This window comes from Homo sapiens, chromosome 14 (genome assembly GCF_000001405.40).
Source record: "Homo sapiens chromosome 14, GRCh38.p14 Primary Assembly".
Taxonomy (NCBI): Eukaryota; Metazoa; Chordata; class Mammalia; order Primates; family Hominidae; genus Homo; species Homo sapiens.
The window spans coordinates 49,697,344-49,716,306 of record NC_000014.9 but is presented as its reverse complement, the minus strand read 5'-3'; the positions used below and the strand labels follow the sequence as shown (position 1 = coordinate 49,716,306).

Here is an 18,963-nt window from a genome sequence, read left to right as displayed (position 1 = left end):
TACATACTAACAACAACAAAAAACCTTTAAAGGTCCAAAAATACTTTACAGGGTAGATTAACCTGGAAAAACAAAGGCAGAAAACCATAGTGGTTTACAGAAACACATGTCATTGCCATAAGCATTCAAAGATACTCCCTTTATACGAGCCTATGCTAGGTTCAGAGACAGAGTTCAGTCCTATGTTTGCCTCTAGCCCTTAAAATGCTTTTTGCAAACCAAAATGACAAAAAATTAAGTGTAACCAGGAGGCAAATCAACAAAGCTATCAATTACTCCTCCTAAAAAATTCTGTATACACCTGTGAATGAAATTCAACAATATGTTGAAATACTCGTTACAACCATGTAAGATTTATATCAGAAACACGAGTATATCATATTAGAAAATATTTAATGACATCAGTATTTAAATGAGAAAACAAACCTCAAACGACTTCAAAAGAAAAAGTATTTAATAAAAATCAATATTCATTGCTCATAAACATCTAGGTTTAAAAGGTAAGGCTATGTTTTATCTTTTATTATATATATATATATATTTTTTTTTTTTTTTTTTTTTTTTTTTGAGACAGAGTCTTGTCACCCAGGCTGGAGTGCAATGGCACAACCTCAGATCACTGCAACCTCCGCCTCCCAGGTTCAAGCAATTCTCCCGCCTCAGCCTCCTAAGTAGGTGGAACTACAGGTACCTGCCACTGCACCCAGCTAATTTTTGTATTTTTAGTAGAGACGGGGTTTCACTGTCAGCCAGGCTGGTCTCGAACTCCTGACCTCAAGTAATCTGCCCGCCTTGGCCTCCCAAAGTGCTGGGCTTACAGGCGTGAGCCACCACATCCGGCCTATATTTTATATATACTTTTATATGTACTTAATATAATAAAGTAGGCCGGGCACGGTGGCTCACATCTGTAATCCCAGCACTTTGGGAGGCTGAGGCGGTCAGATCATGAGGTCAAGAGATCAAAACCATCCTTGCCAACATGGTGAAACCCCATCTGTACTAAAAATACAAAAATTAGCTGGGTGTGGTGGTGTGTGCCTGTAATCCCAGCTATTCGGGAGGCTGAGGCAGGAGAATAGCTTGAACCAGGGAGTCAGAGGTTGCAGTGAGCCGAGATCATGCCACTGCACTCCAGCCTGGGTGACAGAATGAGACTCTGTCTCAGAAAAAAAAAATAATAAAGTAAAATATATATGAATATATATACACTTAATATAATAAAGTATGTATAATACAAAAAACATATATAATATATATTAAGTATATATGTATACATAAAATATAAAATAGATAAAAATAAGTTTCTATATATATGGAAATAAAGTATATATATAATTTCCATATATATGAAAATAAAGTATATATGTAATTTCCATATATATGGAAATAAAGTATATATAAATATATATTAAGTATACATGTAAAAGTATATATAATATATAAAGACATATTTTATATTATATATACTATGTGTTAAGTATATGCTAAAGTATATGTTATATAACATATACCATACATTTATAGTATAGTATAGTATATGAGTCAGAGTATTTGAGTCAAATAATATATTATACATGAGTATATGATTCAAATACTATACTATACATATCCTCCTGCCTCAGCCTCCCAAGTAGCTGGGACCACAGGTGCATAGCATGCCACCACACCTGGGTATTTTTTTTTCTTACTTTTTGTAGAGATGAGGTCTCACTGTGTTGCCCAGGCTGATCTCAAACCCCTGTCCTCAAGGGATCCTCCAGCCTTGACCTCCCAAAGTACTGGGATTACAGGCATGAGCCACCACAACCAGCCTAGATTTTTTTTCGTTTTTGAGACAGAGTCTCGCTCTGTTACCCAGGCTCGAGTGCAATGGCGCGATCTCGGCTCACTGCAACCTCCACCTCCTGGGTTCAAGCCATTGTTCTGCCTCATCCTCCTAAGTAGCTGGGATTACAGGTGCCTGCCACCACGCCTGGCTAATTTTTTGTATTTTTAGTAGAGACAGGGTTTCACTATGCTGGCCAGGCTGGTCTCGAACTTCTGACCGTGTGATCTGCGCGCCTCGGCCTCCCAAAGTGCTGGGATTACAGGTGTGAGCCACCACGCCCAGCCCAGCCTAGATTTTTAAACTTTATTTAAAACATATTTATATATTCTAGCTGAGCACAGTGTCTTACATCTATAGTCCCAGCACTTTGGCAGGCCAAGGCGGGTGGATCACTTAAAGCCAGGAGTTCAAGACCAGCCTGGCCAACATGGTGAAACCCTGTTTCTACTAAAAATACAAAAATTAGCCAGGTTTGGTGGCGTGCACCTGTAATCCCAGCTACTTGGGAGGCATGAGAATTGTTTGAACCCAGGAAGCGGAGGTTACAGTGAGCCAAGATCGTGCCACTGTGCTCCAGCCTGGGTGACAGAGTGAGACTCTGTCTCAGGAAAAAAAAAAAAAAAAATATATATATATATATATATATATATATATATATATATATATATATATATATACCTCCTGCCTCAGCCACCTGAGTAGCTGTGACCACAGGCGTACGCCACCACACCTGGTTAACGATTTGTCTTTTTAGTAAAGATGGGGTTTTGTCATGTTGGCCAGGCTGGTCTCAAACTTCTGGCCCCAAGCGATCCTCTTACCTCAGCCTCCCAAAATGCTGGGATTATAGGCAAGAGCCACTAGGGCAGGCCGACATCAAATATTTCAAATCCATGATTTTAAAATGGTAATTTAAAACCTTACTGACCACTTTGAAGGATACTAGAGAAATGACTCAATTGATTCTAAAGGCGAAAGAATCAAGCATTTATCCTGATTTTCCTATACAAACAGTATCTTAGGGTTAATAAACAGTTAAAGAAAGTTTCTTTTTATAGAAGTATTCCACTAATAAATTAAGAACAAATAATAGAATTAGAATATCATCACTTTGCATCTTCTTGTACAAAAATGGATCTAGGCAGCAATCATCGGTGCTTGCTAACATACAGAGACAACCAAACATTATGTGCCTACTAATGTCTAAAAATAGTTAGCTATGGGCTGGGCGCGGTAGCTCATGCCTGTAATCCCAGCACTTTGGGAGGCTGAGGCGGGCGGATCACGAGGTCAGGAGATCGAGACCACCCTGGCTAACACGGTGAAACCCTGTCTCTACTAAAGATACAAAAAAAAAAATTACCCGGGTGTGGTGGCGGGAGCCCGTAGTTCCAGCTACTCGGGAGGCTGAGGCAGGAGAATGGCGTGAACCTGGGAGGCAGAGCTTGCAGTGAGCTGAGATCGCGCCACTGCATTCCAGGCTGGGTGACAGAGCAGGACTCCATTTCAAAAAAAAAAAAAAAAAAGTTAGCTATGGGCCGGGCATGGTGGCTCACGCCTGTAATCCCAGCACTTTCGGAGGCCAAGGTGGGTGGATCACCTGAGGTCAGGAGTTCAAGGCCAGGCTGACCAACATGGTGAAACCCTGTCTCTACTGAACAACACAAAAATTAAGCCGGGTGTGGCGGCTCATGCCTGTAATCCCAGCACTTTGGGAGGTGGAGGCAGGTGGATCACGAGATCAAAAGTTTGAGACTAGCCTGGCCAATATAGTGAAACCTCGTCTCTACTAAAGATACAAAAAGAACTAGCCAGGCATGGTGGCACATGCCTGTAGTCCCAGCTACTCGGGAGGCTGAGGCAGGAGAATCACTTGAACCCAGAAGGCTGAGGTTGCAGTGAGCCGAGATTCCACCACTGCACTTCATCCTGGGCAATAGAGGGAGACTCCGTCTCAAAAAAAAAAAAAAAAAGAAAATCTATGAAGTACTTTTTATTTGCTCCCAAACCAACAGCTAACACAAGAACATGAATTTGCTTAACTTTCTAGATCTAACTACCAATTTACAGAAAATAGAAGGTGTAGATGAATATGTTAAATGGTATCACAGAGATACAACCAACACAGTGCAGACTATTGGGATTCTATAGCCAAATGACATGGTTTCTTTATCAAATAAATTTCAAGAACAAAACAACAAAAAAGACCAAAAGGAAATCTCTAGAATAAAAGCAACTATATATATGGAAGACATATTGGTTGGGTGCAGTGGCTCATGCCTGTAATCCCAGCACGTTGGGAGGCTGAAGCGGGTGGATCACGAGGTCAGGAGATCGAGACCATCCTGGCTAACATGGTGAAACCCAGTCTCTACTAAAAATACAAAAAAATTAACCAGGCATGGTGGTATGCACCTGTCGTCCCAGCTACTCGGGAGGCTGAGGCAGGAGAATTGCTTGAACTTGGGAGGCAGAGGTTACAGTGAGCCGAGATGGCACCACTGCATTCCAGCCTGGGTGACAGTGAGATTCTGCCTCAAAAAAAAAAAAAAAAAAAAAAAAAAAGAAAAAGAAAAAAGAAAGACATATAAATCGATTATAACGTATAGACCTTATCTAGTCCCCTACTGAACAAATTGTTTAAAAACATTTAAGAGACAAACAAGCAAATCTGAAAACTGGAAATTAAATAGTGAATGATATTTTAAAACACAAATAAAATTTAATAATTAGCAATGAAGAAAACCCTTAAAACAAAAATATAAGAACTCAAATAACAGAGTTGATGGCCAGAAAATATGAGGAGCTGAAACAGAATTGTTAGAAATTAGGAAAGAAGGCCAGGCGCAGTGGCTCACACATGTAATCCCAGCACTTTGGGAGACTGAGGCAGGCAAATCACAAGGTCAGGAGTTCGAGGCCAGCCTGGCCAACATGGTGAAACCCCATCTCTACTAAAAATACAAAAATTAGGGCCAGGTGCAGTGGCTCACGCTTGTAATCCCAGCACTTTGGGAGGCCGAGGCGGGCGGATCACAAGCACAGGAGATCGAGATTATCCTGGCTAACACAGTGAAACCCTGTCTCTAATAAAAATACAAAAAAAAATTAGCCAGCGTGGTGGCATGCCCCTGTAGTCCCAGCTACTCGGGAGGCTGAGGCAAGAGAATTGCTTGAACCTGGGAGGTGGAGGTTGCAGTGAGCCGAGATTGCGCCACTGCGCTCCAGCCTAGGCGACAGAGCGAGACTCTGTCACAAAAATAAATAAATAAATAAACAAACAAATAAATAAATAAATAAAGTAAAAACACAAAAATTAGCCGGGCATGGTGGCAGGCACCTGTAATCCCAGCTACTCAGGAGGCTGAGGCCAGAGAATCGCTTGAACCCGGGAGGCAGAGGTTGCAGTGAGCAGAGATCGTGCCATTGCACTCCAGCCTGAGCAACAGTGAGACTCCATTTCCAAAAAAACAAAAAACAAACAAAAAAAATTAGGAAAGAAATAAAAGGGGAGAAAAACTCATTTCAGAAATGAAGACAATGTTACAAATAGCAAAGAGACAGTTATCACAGAAAATACAGTAAAGGACATAAAGAATAAAAATGTGAAAAACCACAAAAAATAGTTAAAAAGAATTAGCAAGAAATGATAAGCAGGGAGTGAGGAGCTAAAATGTTCATAACTAAAGTTCCCCTTCTTCCCAAAAATGGAACAGAAGGATTAAAAACATAACTCACAAAAACTAGCGTTGAAGGAATGGGAAGGAGAGAGGGATGAAGAGGCTACCATCTAGTTTTATTGATGCTCAGAGTAGGGGAATGATAGATATTGTTCAGAGAAAAAGAATGAGTAATATATGAAAGTATAAATATAAGCACTGGATTTACTCAAGGTCCTACCCAGTCCAGTAAGACAACAAAAAGTTTAAAGATTAGAAAGGAAGAAATAAAACGGGCATTGTCAGATATTGATTATTTAGAAAATCAATTGCAATCCTGAAAAAAACTCATACCTTTAAGCATTCTGTATTTTAGCCAAAGCTATTATCTTTGCTTAGGTAGACATAATGCATTAAGTGCAACTGCTGCATTACCTGTCTTTATATACCCAGCAGGAAAGTTTATCACGTGGTGTAGGTGGTTGCCCTTCAAAGTCGGTGATTTTCTCCCAAATGTAGGTTTCATCTCTTGTTCGTAAATTAACAAAATAAAGCTTTAAAAGATGAGAACACTATTAGCAGACAGGGCATTTAAAAATTAAATCTATATCAGAGGGAATGTGATCCAAGAATTAATACTATTATTTTCTTTTTAATAGGTAAGCTTGTTACCTATTAAAATTTAAAAATTGGAGAATAAAAATGAGACTGTTTTAGGAGTAAAAATGATATATAAAACATATTAAAATGAGTCACATCCTGCTCTTATCCTATGAATATCAATTAAATATGCAGTTAATTCTGAAGCAGAAAGACACAGAAGAAGAGAAGAGCAGGACTGCTGCATTTTCAACCCAGCTTTAAAATATTTAATTACAAGTTTAAGGTTTTCTATATATATCTTCTTTTTAAAATATTTGTAACTTGTGAGATGAAATGATGCATTAAATATTACATTTTGCTGCACTCTTGAATTAAAGAAATTATTACTCGATTGCTGTATCCTTTGTCATCATATCCTCCAAAAATGTACAGCTTTCCATTAATGCAAGCACCACAGCTTCCTGACATGGAGGCTGGGAGTTCTCCTTCCATGAGGTGCATTCTCCTGCAGCAAGAATAACATGGAATCCCATAACTTTCCAGAAAGGCAAATTAAAATTCTCTTTAAACTCCATGAGTACTTTTGTCAGTGAAAACTGTCACTGTCAATTACAGTTACAATGTAATGGTGGCCAATAATGTAAAAACTCTAAGAAGATCCAGGGTAAAACTTTTTCAATCTGCTAGGAAAAAAAAAAAAATCACAAAAATTTCACACGTCACTAGAACTGGAAATTTGCAGAATAAAACAAAATCTTCAGAGACAGCACTGGTCTTGAGAGAAATACTAAAAGACAAAAAGTGGAGCAGGGAAGACAGTAGGGGAATGAAAGAGTCAGAAAATAAAAGCATTGAAAGGAAAGGAAAGGGAGACTTCAAAAATGTTGCAGTATGTTCAAAGTATGGTCTCAAATTCCCTAGAGTCTACAGAAACATTTATAATAGATATTAAGATCAGACAGTATGCAATTTAAAATTACTTACCACAACCCACTATCAATATCATAGGTCCAAATTTCATCATTAGGCAAATATACTTCATTGTCTTCAATAGACTAAAAATACAGAATACATAAAATTATGTTTATCAGTTACACAGCAAACAGTTACACAGCTTCTCAGGATGAGAAAAATTGCTAATAAAATACTATAAAACACAAAAGAAGGCTCAAGGATCTTTTTCAATATAAAATAAAATATATCAAAAGAAAAGGAAAGAAGATTTTCTAAGAGAAAGTGGGAAAACAATAAAGGATCAAAATAAAACATAGCGAGTATATAAGTCTCAAGAAAATAATTAGGGCAATTAAACCTTTAAAAGGGGCTTTATGTAAAAGAAAATAGCAAAACAATAAGATTTAGAGCAGAATATTAAAGATTATAAAGCCAGGAAGAAAAAGATCATCAAAAAATAAAAAAAAGGACAATACATTTTGGGTGACAGGAAGTATTAATGGAGGAAATTTTTTAAAGATACAATTAAATATCTTATTAAGATATCTCAGGAACTTTAATTCACTGAACATATTTTTTGAGTGCCTACTATATGCAAGGCATAGTATTAGTTGTTCATTAAATCTAGAATATAAGGATCACAATATATTTAACTAGTCAAAATGAGAACTCAGAACTTGGATAATCTCTAAAGAAGCTGATCACAAATAGAATAGCACATTCTGACATTCTTGATGAAAAGATAAATAAGACTTGTATAACAATCTTACTTATTTTGAGCTTAAACAAGCTTAGGAGTTAAAATAAATTTTTACATAAATCTGCCATAGTTCTCAGAATCTATATAATAGTTCAAAAATAACCAGCTGGGCGCAGTGGCTCAGCCAGCATTTTGTAATCCCAGCACAGTACAATTCCAGCACTTTGGGAGGCTGAGGCAGGTGGATGACCTGAGGTTAGGAGTTTGACACCAGCCTGGCCAACATAGTGAAACTCCACCTCTACTAAAAATACAAAAAAAACTAGCCAGGCATGGTGGCGTATGCCTGTAATCCCAGCTACTCAGGAGGCTGAGGCAGGAGAATCGCTTGAACCTGGGAGACGGAGGTTGCAGTGAGCTGAAATCGTGCCACTGCACTCCAGCCTGGGCAAAAGAGTGAGAATTTGTCTCAAAAAAAAAAAAAAAAAAGCTAGAGTTTTAAAATAGCACTTTAAGAATTTCTAAAACTATATAATACATAAGTTATTAACATGCTAAGAAGATTTAGCTGTTTCTCATTGTATGTTCTTTAAATTTAAAAATAGGCCGGGTGTAGTGGCTCATTCCTGTAATCCCAGCACTTTGGGAGGCCAAGGCAGGAGGATTGCTTGAATCCAGGAATTCAAGACCAGCCTGGGCATCATAGCCAGATCTTGTCTCTAAAAAAAAAAACACCAAAAAATTAGTTAGGCCTGGTGGCACATGCCTGTAGTCCTAGCTACTCAGGAGGCTGAGGTGGGAGGATCACTGGAGCTCAGGAGTTCGAGGCTGTAGTGAGCTATGATAGTACCACTGCACTCCAGCCTGGGCGACAGAGGCAGACCCTGCTTCTTAAAAAAAAAAAAAAAAAAAAGGGCCAGGTGTAGTGGCTCACGCCTGTAATCCCAGCACTTTGGGAGGCAGAGGCAGGTGGATCACAAGATCAAGAGATCAAAACCATCCTGGCCCACATGGTGAAACCCCGTCTCTACTAAAAATACAAAAATTAGCTGGGCGTGGTGGTGCATGACTGTAATCCCAGCAACTCAGAAGGCTGAGGCAGGAGAATCGCTTGAACCCCGGAGGTGGAGGCTGCAGTGAGCTGAGATTGTGCCACTGCACTCCAGCCTAGGCAACAAATGGAGACTCTGTCTCCAAAAAAAAAAAAAAAAAAAAAAAAAAGAATATCTTGTCTACCATGTCTCTCTCTCTCTCTCTCTCTCACACACACACACACACACACACACATAAAAATAGAAAAGCGTTGTATTAGTTCCAAGGAAATTAAACTTACACTCATGTCTGAGTCTTTTCAATAGATGGTGCAAAAGAAAAAAACTAGATTCCTATCTTTCACCATATACAAAAATCACATCAAAATGGATTAAAGACTTAAATCTAAGACTTCAAACTATAAAACAACTACAAGAAAACATGGGGAAACTCACCAGGACATTGGTCTGGGCAAAAATTTCTTGAATGATACCCCACAGGCACAGGCCACCAAAGCAAAAATGGACAAATGGGATCATATCAAGTTTAAATGCTTCTGCACAGTGAAGGGAACAATCAACAAAATGAAATGACAACCTACAGAATGGGAGAAAATATTTGCAAACTCCCCATGTGACAAGGGATTAATAACCAGAATATATAAGGAGCTCAAACGACTCTACAGGAAAAAAATCTAACAATCTAATTTAAAAATGGGCAAAATACTTGTATACACATTTCTCCAAAGAAGACATAAGTATGGCAAACAGGCATAGGAAAAGGTGCTCAACATCACTGATCATCAAATAAGTGCAAATCAAAACTACAATGAGATATTATCTCACTTCAGTTAAAACGGCTTTTATCCAAAAGAAAGGCAGTAACTAATGCTGGCAAGGAAGTGAAGAAAAGGGAACTCTCATACACTGTTGGTGGGAATGTAAATTAGTACAACTACTATGGAGAACAGTTTGGAGGTTTCTTTAAAAACTAAAAATAGAGCTACCATATGATCCAGCACCCCCACTGCTAGGTATATATGCGAAAGAAAGGAAATCAGTGTATCGCAGAGATATCTGCACTCCCATGTTTGTTGCAGCACTGTTCACAATACCCAAAATTTCGAAGCAACTTGTGTCCATCAACACATGAATGGATAAAGAAAATGTGGTACTCATACACAATGGAGCACCATTCAGCCATAAAAAAGAATGAGATCCTGTTATTTACAATAACATGGATGGAACTAGAGGTCATTAGCTAAATGAAGTAAGCCAGACACAAAAAGACAAACATCACATGTTCTTACATGAGATCTAAAAATCAAAACAATTGACCTCATGGAGAGAGAAAGCAGAAGGATGGTTACCAGAAGCTGGTAAGGTTAGTGGGAGGTGGGAGTGGGTGGGTAGGGATGGCTAATGGGTACCAAAAAATAGTTAGAAAGAATAAGACCTAGTATTTGATCGCACAATAGGGTGACTATAGTCAATAATAATTGTACATTTCAAAATAAAAGAATATAATTGGATTGTCTGTAACACAAAGGATAAATACTTGAGGGAACAGATACCCCATTTTATATGATGTGACTATTATGCATTGCATGCCTGTATCAAAATATCTCATGCATCCCATAAATATATACACCTACTATGTACCCACAAAAATTAAAATTAAAAAAATTTTTCAATCAGTGAAAAAACATAAACTTACACTCATGTCTGACTGAGGAATCCATATTAAATGGCTAAGTAAACAAATAATTATAAGAAGGGGAGCTACTGTATGAGTCTAAGGTTTAATGGCATTAGGTTCCAGTAGCCTCATGTGTACTCCTTTACAAAAGAAATATTATAGGCTGGGCACAGTGGCTCACACCTGTAATCCTAGCACTTTGGGAGGCTGAGGCGAACAGATCACAAGGTCAGGAGTTCGAGAGCAGCCTGGCCAATATGGTGAAACCCTGTCTCTACTAAAAATACAAAAAAATTAGCCAGGTGTGGTGGCGGGCGCCTATAGTCTTAGCTATTCAGGAGGCTGAGACAGGAGAATTGCTTGAACCTGGGAGGCGGAGGTTGCAGTAACCTGAGATCATGCCACTGTACTCCAGCCTGGGTGACAGAGCAAGACTCCATCTCAAAAAAAAAAAAAAAAAAAAAGAAAGAAAGAAATATTATGAAAGTGAATTGTCATTACTCTGTTTAAGTCCTTTCAATGGCTCCCTATTGCTTTTAGCATAGTCTAAAATGTTTATGATTCTGTATTATATGGTAGCTGCTATCCCTCGAAACTTCAAGTTGCCTTTCACACACAGTACGCCTTCAGTACTTAAACATCTCCTAGTTCCTTGCTATGATAGGACCATTCATCTATTCTCTTTTCTCTCTTATAGTACTCTTTCAGAGTTTGCCTAACTCCTCCTTTTTTGGGAATCAGCTTAAATGTACTTCTCTAACCTATTCTCTAAAATAGCTTAAAGTATTAAGGTCCCCTATTAGAGGCCCTCATAGTCCTGTACTTTCCCTTTGAAGTTCTTTGTATCACACCCACCCTCACCACCACCAATACTGCTAAACTGTAAGCTTCATGAGTACAGGGATCTTGTCTATCTTGTTACGCTCCCAGAGCCTACTACAGTGCCTCACACATAAAAGACAAATAAAATATTTATTGATTGAGTGAGCCACTGCGCCCAGTCCAAGTTTTCCTTCTCTACTGGATTATTCCTATTAATATACAAACATGTCTCATCTCACCTTTCAAAAAAAAGAATTCTCCCTTGACTCCTTTTCTTCCTGTTTCTAGGAATGGTTAGAATATGTTTGACAAGGCCAGGCACAGTGGCTCATGCTTGTAATCCCAGCACTTTGGGAGGCCGAGGTGGGCAGATCACCTGAGGTCAGGAGTTCAAGGCCAGCCCAGCCAACATGGTGAAACTCTGGCCTCTACTAAAAATACAAAAAATTAGCTGGGCATGGTGGCGGGTGCCTGTAATCCCAGCTACTCAGGAGGCTGAGGCACGAGAATTGCTTGAGCCTGGGAGGCAGAGGTTGCAGTGACCCCAGATTGCGCCACTGCACTCCAGCCGGGGCGACAAAGCGAGACTCTGTCTCAAAAAAAAAAAAAAAAAAAAAAAACAGAAAAGGAAAAAAAATAAAAAGACAAGCTATAAATTGAAGACATATTCAACTCACACAATTTTGTATTTTAAAACTTGTATAAATTAGTTAAAAAAAGCAAATAATCCAACAGAAAAATGAGCAAAAGACATGAGCCAGCATTTTTACAAAAGACACAAATAGTCCATAAAGTTAGACGCTCAATTTTATCAGTAACCAAGGGAAATGAAAACAAAAACCACAATGAACTATCATGTCACACTCACTGGAACGGCAAAAACGTAAGGCCAGATGGTACCAAATGTGTTGCCAAGGATATGGGGCAAGGAAATGGCTGGTGGGAGTGTAAATTGATACAAATATTTTGGTAACAGTCTGACATTTCCAAATAATTTTGGAGATGTGCATATCAAGTGATCCAACATTTCATTCATTGGTAGATTCCCTAGGGAATGTACATGCCCTTGTGAATATACAATAGGAAGCATGTTATAAGAATGCTTACAATAGCAAAAAATTAGAAACATTCAAATATTCACCAATAATGGAATGGATAAATTGCAGTAAACTCATAGAGTAGAATGTTATACAGGATATACATCAAATGAATGGATCTAGAGATGATGATTTTCAAATTATTTAACAACTGGGCAGCACAGGCATTGACCAATCAGAATAGATGCCAAACAACAACAGGTACAGCCATACAAGCACACACCAGTTGACTATAAGCAATGTATGAATCTGAAAACTAAAAGAATTCATGGAAGAGGCTGAGCTCACACCTGTAATCCCAGCACTTTGGGAGGCTGAGGTGGGTGGATCACCTAAGGTGAGGAGTCCAAGATCAACCTGGCCATCATGGTGAAACCCCGTTTCTACTACAAATACAAAAATTAGCTGGGTGTGGTGGCGGGCACCTGTAATCCCAGCTACTTGGGAGGCTGAGGCAGGAGGATCACTTGAACCCAGGAGGCGGAGGTTGCAGTGAGCTAAGATCATGTCACTGCAATCCAGCCTAGGCAACAGGAGCGAAACTCTGTCTCAAAAAAAAAAAAAAATTCATGAAAGAAAACATATGCTATGATTCAAAACCAAATAATATATTGTTTAGAGATGTATGTGAAGTAAAATTATAGAGAAAAGAAATTTAAGATAGTGGTAACCTGTATGAGTGGGGGTAGTGGGAGCAATGTAATCAATGCAGGATAAAAGGAAGCTTTTATCCTGCATAATAAACAATAAAGGTATTGTTTATTTCTTAATCTGGAAAGTAAACAGTTGTTTATATTTAAATAATACTTATTTTATACATTCTATTGTATATATATTTCAAATTCAAAAATTAAGTAAATAAAATTTTAAGAAACGAATATTAAGTAGCTCACAGAATCATCAGGGAGGCTGGAGAACCAGCCTCTGGTCGATGCAAGGAAGAGTGAGGTGTGAAACCATGCCAAGAGAGCAGGTCTGTGGTCACTGGTGCACACCACACTGCTGCCTTTTATGCAAGGAAACTTGATCTTCCTAAACTGTATTGCAGGCTAAGAATCTTCTAGAGGTCGTGGTTTTTTATATCTTTATTCCGAAGTCCAAATCTAGCACAGATTCATCTAACCAATGGAGTCCTAGCCACTTGCCTGCAACCTAGCTGCAAGTAAGGCAGGAAAAGTTAGTACCTGACTTTCAGGTATTTTTATTGGGCACCTACTATGAGCTGTAACCAGTTCTAGACATTGAGGATACAACAGAGAACAAGTTACATATCTTATATTTTATGAGGATAAGTAGGAGACAACTAGAATAAATACCCTGACAATATTCACTCACTAGGGGAATACCACAAATAGAGAAAGGTGGTTTATATTCTGGTCATTTAAAAAGAATGATAAATGTCTTCCATATAACATAGATGACCAATGTGATCATTTATGAATATATAAAGTAGAACTATTAGGTTAAAGAGAAAACACATCTTACATTTTTGATACACATTGCTAAATTTCTCCTCAAAAAGGTTACACAAACTTGTACTCTTATTACCAGTGTACTAGTAATTCATTTCTCCACACTCTTTGCCAGAATTCTTTCTCATCTTTGCAAATTGGAGAAGAAAAACCTCATTGTAATTTTTACCTGGGTTTCCTTTGTTTGTATATTTGTATTTATTTTGTAAATTGCACTTATCCATTGCTCATTTTTCAATGGGGATGTTATCTTTTTTTTTTTTTTTTTTTGAGACAGAATTTCGCTCTTGTTGCCCAGGCTGGAATGCAATGGTGTGATCTCGGCTCACTGCAACCTCCGCCTCCCAGGTTCAAGCGATTATCCTGCCTCAGCCTCCCGAGTAGCTGGGATTACAGGCATGTGCCACCATGCCCAGTTACGTTTGTATTTTTAGTAGAGACGAGGTTTCTCCATGTTGGTGAGGCTGGTCTCCCACTCCTGACCTCAGGTGATCTGCCCGCCTCGGCCTCCCAAAGTGCTGGGATTACAGGCGTGAGCCACCACGCCCGGCTAATTTTTGTATTTTTAGTAGAGATGGGGTTTCATCATATTGGTCAGGCTGGTCTTGAACTCCAGACCTCAGGTGATCTGCCTGCCTAGGCCTCTCAAAGTGCTGGGATTATAGGCATGAGCCACCACACCCGACCCTGGTTACAAATATTTTCTCCTTTGCCATTTGCCTCCTCGTTTTCTGGTGTTTAAAAATCAGTTTTTGGTATTTTTTTGTTTTTGTTTTTTTGATACGGAGTTTCGCTCTTGTTGCCCAGGCTAGAGTGCAATGGCGCAATCTCGGCTCACCACAACCTCCACCCTCCGGGTTCAAGCAATTCTCCTGCCTCAGCCTCCTGAGTAGCTGGGATTACAGGCATGCACCACCACGACCAGCTATTTTTCTATTTTTAGTAGAGACGGGGTTTCACCATGTTGGTCAGGCTTGTCTCGAACTCCCAATGTCAGTTGATCCATCCACTTTGGCCTCCCAAAGTGCTAGGATTACAGGCGTAAGCCACTGTGCCTGGCCAAAAATCAGTTTTTTAGAAGTCTGATCTGCCAATTTTTTCCATTATAGTTTTTTCCTCAAGATTTTAGAAGTCATATATTCTCTTCCAGTATTATATAGCTTAATTTTTCTGTATTTAAGCCTTCAATCCTAAGGCACCAAGAATATTTTCCTCTAGCTATCCTAGGATCATTTATTGCATAAGTGATCATTTTCCCAGATTTGAAATGCTACCTTTTAAATACAAAATAGTCTTATTTTTTTTCCTTATATGCTTGGCTGTTTTTGTAGTTTTTTTCTTTTTTCTTTTTTTTTTTGAGATGGAGTCTCACTCTGTCGCCCAGGCTGGAATGCAATGGCGCCATCTTGGCTCATGCAACCTCTGCCTCCCAAGTTCTAGCAATTCTCCTGCCTCGGCCTCCTGAGTAGCTGGGATTACAGGCATGTGCCACCACGCCTGGCTAATGTTTTTGTATTTTCAGTAGAGACGAGGTTTCACCGTGTTGGCCAGGCTGGTCTTGAACTCCTGACCTCAGGTGATCCGCCTGCCTTGGCCTCCCAAAGTGCTGGGATTACAGGCGTGAGCCACTGTGCCCGGCTGTTTCCATAATTCCTTTCGCATTTCATTGTACTATCTCTACTTGCATCAAGTCAACTAATTATTATGGTATTGTGACATGTTTTAATATCTGACACGGTAAGCCTTCCACCTTCATTCTTTTCAAACATTTTCTAAATTGATCCTTCTTCCCTTTAAATCCATATCCATAGCAGAAATATGTAGTTAAGCATATGTATACAGATATTTGTTTCTTTTAAGTGACAGGGTCTCTGTCACCCAGGCTGGAGTGCGATGGCACAATCATAGCTCACTGCATCCTTGAACACATGGGCTCAAGTGATCCTCCCACCTCAGTCTCCCAAGTAGCTAGGACCATAGAAGCACACTACCATGCCCAACTAATTATTTTCTTTCCAGCAGAGACAAGGGTCTTGCTATGTTGCTCAGGCTGGTCTCAAACTCCTGGACTCAAGCAATCCTCCTGCCTTGGCCTCCAAAAGTGCTAGGGTTACAGGCCTGAGCCACCACACCCAGCCTGTGAAGATACTTTGGGAGGCCGAGGCAGGTGGATCAATTGAGGTCAGGAGTTCGAGACCAGCCTGACCAACATGGTGAAACCCTGTCTCTACTAAAAATACAGTAATTACCTGGGCATGGTGGGAAGCACCTGTAGTCCCAGCTACTCGGGAGGCTGAGGCAGGAGAATTGGTTGAACCTGGGAGGCGGAGGTTGCAGTGAGCCGAGATCGCGCCACTGCACTCCAGCCTGGGCAAGAGCGAGACTCCATCTAAAAAAAAAAAAAAAAAGGTTCACAGCAAAACATATTATCAATTGTATTACAGAAATAATACTGTTCAAATGATTAGGGCCATGATAGGAAAACCATACTACCTGCAAACATGCCAAGATACCGAGTTTTTCCCCTAAATTTGGAAAAGCTATTCACAACTTTTAATGTTCCTTGCAGTAGCACCAAAGTCTGTGTGAATTTCTGTAATGTGGAAAGGATGTAGAACTAAGAGGAAAATCATATTCTGATACCAATTAGAATCGACCATTTACTTTTTTGATATTATCACTCTTACCTCTGGGGGTGCCTATTTTCAGATACTAATATAATGGCCTTCAGAATATGTTTGACAATGGAGAAATCAGTAATTTAGACAGATATCGGTGAGCTTTAGAACATATGTTTGTCCATTTTAATACATTGTTTGTATCAATGAAGAGGAAAATTGTGACTGGAATATATAATCTAGAACTATCTGATCATTATACTTAACTACTGAGTACTGGAATACCACCAGATCCCAGGGCCTTTTAACTATCTTGTTTAGAACGATCGGAATAAGATAATTGTTAGAAGAATTCTACTTTTTCTCCGGATATGCCATGTCCTCTTTTTTTTTTTTTTTAAAGCCTATACTACCCATATGGCTTCTTTTTTGCCTCCTAGTCTCCCTTTCCTTCCACTTATGCCTTAGACACTTCTTGACTGCTGATAATCCCTGGAATTTAAAAAAGTAGTAGACTCAGGATCTACATCTGTGTTGTATTTTCCAGAGTGGTTCTTACAGCATCTCTACTGACTGAATTAATAAACAGGAGAAAAAGAAGTATTTCAATTCAATAACTGCCACCTGAAGAACTGTGATTTTTTTTTTTTTTTTTTTTTGAGACAGTCTTGCTCTATCACCCAGACTGGAGTGCGGTGGCACGATCTCGGTTCACTGCAACCTCCGCCTTCTGGGATCAAGCGATTCTCCTGCCTCAGCCTCCAGATTAGCTGGGATTACAGGCACGTGCCACCACGCCTGGCTATTTTTTTGTATTTTTAATAGAGACGGGGTTTCGCCGAGTTAGCCAGGATGGTCTCGATCTCCTGCCCTCGTGATCCACCCGCCTCGGCCTCCAAAGTGCTGGGATTACAGGCGTGAGCCACCACGCTCGTCAAGAAGTATGATCTTATCAATTACACAATTTTCAAGAATAAAACGAGATGCAAAAAATTCAGACATTTAGGCCAGGCACAGTGGCTCACACCTGAAATCCCAGCACTTTGGGAGGCCGAGGTGGGCTGACTGCCTAAGGTCAGGAGTTTGAGACCAGCCTGGCCAACATGGCAAAACTCCGTCTCTACTAAAAATACAAAAACTAGCTGGGCGTGGTGGCATGTGCCTGTAATCCCAGCTTCTTGGGAGGCTGAGGCAGGAGAATCGCTTGAACCCAGGAGGCAGAGGTTGCAGTGAGCCGAGATGGTGCCACTGCACTCCAGCCTGGGCAACAGAGAGATACTCTGTCTCAAAAAACAAAACAAAACAAAACAAAAAACAAAGGCCGAGCGCGGTGGCTCAGGCCTGTAATCCCAGCACTTTGGGAGGCTGAGGTGGGCGGATCACGAGGTCAAGAGTTTGAGATCAGCCTGGCCAACATGGTGAAACCCCGCCTGTACTAAGAATACAAAAAGTAGTTGGGCGTGGTGGTGTGTGCCTATACTCCCAGCTACTAGGGAGGTTGAGGCAGGAGAATCTTTTGAACCTAGGAGGCGGAGGTTGCAGTGAGCCGAGATCGTGCCACTGCACTCCAGCCTGGGCGACAGAGCAAGACTCCGTCTCAGGGGAAAAATATTTTCATTTATGGGCTCAAAAGAAATCTATACAGATATATTACAGATTGCTGTTTTAAGTGAATTTTTCACTTAACTTTTACAACATCAAGAATAGAGCAGACACCTCTACAGGTGGCAGAACTCAAAACAATCAAAATTTATTTCTTGTGCATATAGCCACCTTTATATCTAGACTCTTTGCATCAAGAATAAACGGTGGAAATATCAGACACTCATAAAGCACAATCACCTAATTTAGTTTATCACTAAAAAGTTGCCTTTGGAAATCCTATACACGTCTGTTGGTATCTGCTGCCCCTGAGGTGAAATGTCCATTAAAGTTACTTACTCTAATCGACTCCTTTTCCTTATTTATAAAATAGGGATATTACGTACTTTACAGGAATATAGTAAGAATATATAAGATTAGGGATGTGACAGTAACTAGCACATGCCAGATGTAGTAAGCACTCAAAAGTTAGTTCTAATTTTCCCCTACTGGTACTGAACCAAATTAAAAATAAACACACAAAACAACAACAAAAACCAACTTGAATCTGAGAATTATTTAACACACACAGTATAGGCATACCTCATTTTATTGTGCTTTGCTTTACTGTGCTTGACAGATATTGCATTTTTTAAATAAATTGAAGGTTTGTGGCAACCCTGCATTGAGCAAGTCCATTGGCACCATTTTTCCAACAGCAAGTGATGCTCACTTCGTGTCTGTGTCACATTTTGGTAATTCTCACAGTATTTCAAACTTTTGCATTATTATTATTATATCTGTTATGGTGATCTGTGATCAATGATCTTTGATATATTACTGTAATTGTTTTGGGGCACCATAAACTGTGCCCGTATAGGATGGTGAACTTAACT

The 18,963-nt window shown here is 39.6% G+C and overlaps 1 protein-coding gene across 2 annotated transcripts in view; it reads right to left on the bottom strand.

Annotated features, from left to right (window-relative positions):
* Positions 1-18,963, bottom strand: part of KLHDC1 (kelch domain containing 1) — a 60,031-nt gene that overhangs the window by 36,844 nt on the left and 4,224 nt on the right. For both annotated transcript variants that reach the window (NM_172193.3, XM_011536422.3), the window contains exons 2-4: positions 7,078-7,148; positions 6,481-6,598; positions 5,926-6,044 (exon numbers count right to left, since the gene is read on the bottom strand). In NM_172193.3, coding sequence (NP_751943.1) covers positions 5,926-6,044; positions 6,481-6,598; positions 7,078-7,148 — 308 coding nt within the window. The remainder of the gene's footprint in view (positions 1-5,925; positions 6,045-6,480; positions 6,599-7,077; positions 7,149-18,963) is intronic.